A 4,560-nucleotide genomic window follows, 5' to 3' on the forward strand; every position below is an offset into this window, starting at 1 on the left:
TCCCTGCCAACCAATCAGCAATGATGTGACCTTGGCAAAATCTTGGTAATCCTCAGTTTGTTAATTTGCTGAGGATTGATAATGAAACTTACATGTAGATCTGATGTGTGGGATGGTGGTGACGCATGGAATGTGCCTTAAACTGCTTTGGCACCAGTCATGAGTCAATACATGAGAGACATGCATCGCTGTATTCCCAACTCTTAATTAAGTGCCAAGCACATTCAGCACATTTGCTGAAATGAAAATCATACAGTAGTTATACTGTTATAAACTTAGCTATGTAAAAAATATGTCTTCCTTTGTTTCTTTATACCTGCATACATTCTCAAACTCAGATTTTTGCTGACGGTGAGTGCTTGTCAATCCAAGATCACTCAGCCACTTTCGTTATAAGAAGCAGTATTTTGGAAACTAGTGCTCAGTCGATTCAAGATTCCCTCCCTGATTCACCTTTCTGCCCCACAGGAAACATAAGCAGGATGTGTGTGCTCCAGGCATCTGGGGGATATTGCATTTGTTTGCCATTTGTGCTCCTGTCTTCCTTTAGCTGAGCTATAGCAATTGTCACCTGGTCTTGGAAGTCAGTCTGTAGCCTGCTATATTCACCACTGATGTCCTTAGGTGACAGAAAGAGCAGTGAAAATCCTGAGTAAATTTGAAAGGATTCTAGAACACAAAGAACTGGGGTCTGGCTTTCCAGGCTGTCTTTCCTCTGGAAAACTGTAAACTTTGTAACTAAATCCCATTTCTGCATGACACCAGGGGCTAGAAGTCTGAAATTAAAGTGTCAGTAGGGTTGGTTCCCTCTGAGGGCTGAGCAGAGAGTATCTGTCCAAGCCTCTCTTCTTGTAGATGGCCATTTACTCCTTGTGTCTCTTTCCATTGTCTTCCCTTTATGCACGTCTGTTTCTTTGTCCAAGTTTATTCTTTTTCTTTCTCCATGCGCCTCAGATGCTGGTTTTCTTCAATACACATCAGGTCAAATTGAAGAAATGTTACTTATCATGAACTCTTTTTTTTTTTTTTTTTTGAGACAGAGTCTCACTCTGTTGCCCAGGCTGGAGTGATGTGGTGCAATCTCAGCTCACTGCAGCCTCGACCTCCCAGTGTCAAGCAATCCTCCCACCTCAGCTTCCCAAGTAGCTGGGACGACAAGCATGCACCACTGTACCTGGCTAGTTTTTGTAGTTTTTGGTAGAGATGGGGTCTCACCATGTTGCCTAGGCTGTGTTCAAGTGATCCACCCCACTTGGCTTCCTAAAGTGCTGGGATTACAGGTGTGAGCCACTGCAACTGGCCACAAACTGTTCCTTTCAGCCCAGCTGGAGTTCTGGACCCTTCTCAGGGAACAACAGTTATCTCTACATCAGTTATGTCCTTCCAATTCTCTTTCTGTTTTGCTGGCCAAACACATAACCCTTTTTGAGCAGAAAAATGACTATCTCATCATGTCTTCTTCTCCATGATAGGGTTTAAGCAGAGCTACTCAAACTTTACAATGGATAAGGAAAATTGGGTTGTATGTAAAAATACATTATCCTGTCTTTGTCCTTGTAGACTTAGGGTATGGCTCCTCAACCTGTAATTTATGACACATACTACATGTCTGATACAGATGGCTTACAGACCATTCTTGTATAAACAGTCGTTTTACATTGTGGAAAACAGTGTGGCGATTCCTCAGGGATCTAGGACTAGAAATACCATTTGACCCAGCCATCCCATTACTGGGTATATACCCAAAGGATTATAAATCATGCTATTATAAAGACACATGCACACATATGTTTATTGCGGCACTATTCACAAAGCAAAGACTTGGAGCCAACCCAAATGTCCATAAATGATAGACTGGATTAAGAATATGTGGCACATATACACCACGGAATACTATGCAGCCAAAAAAAAGATGAGTTCACGTCCTTTGTAGGGACATGGATGAAGCTGGAAACTGTCATTCTGAGCAAACTATCGCAAGGACAAAAAAACCAAACACCGCATGTTCTCACTCATAGGTGGGAATTGAACAATGAGAACACTTGGACACAGGGTGGGGAACATCACACACCAGGGCCTGTTGTGGGGTTTGGGGAGGGGGAGGGATGGCATTGGGAGATATACCTGATGTAAATGACGAGTTGATGGGTGCAGCGCACCAACATGGCAAATATATACCTATGTAACAAACTGGAATGGTGTGCACATGTACCCTAGAATTTGGAGTATAATAAAAAAAAATAGTGGTTTTAGTTATAAACTTATGCCTTGAACTTTCAATATTTTTAATATTTAAAACTGAATGTTTGGAATAAGAAAATAAAAACAAACTTTTTTTTCTTAAATGCTTATTTATTGAAAATAAAAGTTCCAACTTTCAAGTTCATTACTTCCACTAGATATTTTCATAATCTATCTGAAATTTTAAAATCCAGCAAATTGGACCTTTATTCTTTTGTATTATCTCTTCTCGTGTTCACTGTACATGGTAAGCTCTTCTTTCTGCTTGAATAGTGAAGGAAAAGACAGAAGGAAATAATTTTTAAAAACCTACCTAGTTTATTTTTGTATATTGTCATGCTACATCCTCACCCACATGTGTATGTAGCACGTGTGTGTGTGTGCGTGTGTGTGTGTGTGTGAGAGAGAGAGAGAGAGAGGAATGTGGGAAAAAATATGAGGTACAGTGTGTAAAGAGAATGGTATATGGAACTCATCACAACTAATTTGGAATCCTGGCTATACTATTTTTCATTTGGGCCAAGTAGGAGAGTCATTTGATTTATCTTAGTTTCAGTTTTCTTCCACTGAACTTTAAGATTCTTTTAGAATGCAACTATGTTTTAATCTATATCTCTTCAATCTGGCACATAGTAGAGAAATTGTCATTATTGAATGAATAAATGAGTAATGTCCTAGCTATCAATACAAGGCATTACAAGGGTTCATTTTACTCCCAATTAATTTACGTTCAGTCCAAAATACTGTGTTTAAGAAATGAGCCTCAATTTGGCCTTGTCTTCCTTTCAGAAGCTGCATGTGCCAGTCTTCAGGAATACACTGATTTCCTGGCTGCTTTAGCAAATATTAGATTGCCCTCCTATGACTTCCAATAGAACTTACTTCTTGTACTCATGATTTAATATGTGGCAATAATGTTATTTTATCAATTTAGGTCTAGTTTTGGATATTTCTCTTTCTCTCTATGAAATGCTCAGCTCCTTAATGGCAGAGACCACACAATATGCCTCTGTTTTTCACATTACCAGCAAAGGGCCCCTTTCCTAGGAAGTGCTGAGTGTGTTCTTGTATTTAAGAATAATAGTAATGACAGTAAAATTAAACTATTGTACACAGTTCTTTCAAGGAAAAAAAAAGACTATGCTGATATAGTTCTGTTGGATGAAGAGACGTAGACTCACAGAATTTCAGTGACTTGAGATATGCCCACAGCCAGAAAGAGGCAATGACTCAGTTGTTCAGACTCTGATTCCAGGGCTGTTTCCACTACACCATGATAAATAAGGTCTGTGTTTTGTGTTAAACATTAGGACATTTGGTATGAAGTTGTTAGATCTGACATGAATTTGTTTCTAATAGGATTGAGATACCCTGAACAGGTCACCAGGGCATGTTACATAATTTACCTTTGCTTGATGCCTTTAAAAGGAGGATCAATACCTGCCTTTTAGGCAGGGTTTAGGCATTGCCCTGCCAAAAGGAAAGAAATTAACTACATGTTTTTAAAGATTCCTTTTGGTTCTACAGCCAAAGGAATCTTGGCTCTTGTAACTTAGTTATATTTACTTTTTTAACTCTGAATTCTGCCTGTTCCTGGGCATTTTGTAAATATTATGCAAATCTAAGGTTAAATCAGCAGTGACAAGTCAAATTTGGGAGGTCAGGGAAGGCAGAAATCAAGTTACCATCCAGAAGAGCTAAATATACATGTCACTACTAATTAGATGAGAAGGAATAACAGCACACAATATTAATCTTCATGTCATGCTTCAACACAGGATTTTTAAGCCACTCTGACAAATTCTAGATTTTAAACACAAATGAGTGGAAGTTTGTGGAGAACCCTGAGAACTTGGAAGTGTCTTTGTTGTTTGCCTTAGTCCACCTCCATTCCGAGTTTTTCCTCACCTTGAACATTAATTCATTTAAATTCTTAACCCCCTTTCCAACCATTTTTACTCATTTGTTGTTAATATGCAGATTACAATGGCTGGTGTTCGGAAAGGGGATCAGCAAAACATTTATCATTCAATGCAGCAACTTGAGGAGTTTTGAAAAGCAAAGCATGTGGAACCCCATTAACAGATAAAGAACACAGGATTGAAAGAACCAAAGGACAAATCATTTATTTCAGTACATCTTGTATAGCAAAGCATTACCAGAGGCAATAGGTACAAAAGATCAGATCAGCTTCAGAAGGGCTAAATGATATTCATTTGCCATCTTCACCAAAATAAGATTGCATGGAAATATTTTTTATTTTGAATGTTGAAGATAATTTTAATAATGTGATTTTTTGACCCACAGTCTAAGGCAAAG

The 4,560-nt window shown here is 38.6% G+C and overlaps 1 non-coding gene across 1 annotated transcript; it reads right to left on the minus strand.

Annotated features, from left to right (window-relative positions):
- Positions 1 to 948: 948 nt before the first annotated feature.
- On the minus strand, positions 949 to 1,013 carry LOC124900350 (small nucleolar RNA SNORD37). The gene has a single exon (XR_007064403.1). It is a non-coding gene; the product is annotated as a small nucleolar RNA SNORD37 (small nucleolar RNA).
- Between the last annotated feature and the right edge of the window lie 3,547 nt (positions 1,014 to 4,560).

This window comes from Homo sapiens, chromosome 14 (genome assembly GCF_000001405.40).
Source record: "Homo sapiens chromosome 14, GRCh38.p14 Primary Assembly".
In the NCBI taxonomy this organism is placed as follows: domain Eukaryota; kingdom Metazoa; phylum Chordata; class Mammalia; order Primates; family Hominidae; genus Homo; species Homo sapiens.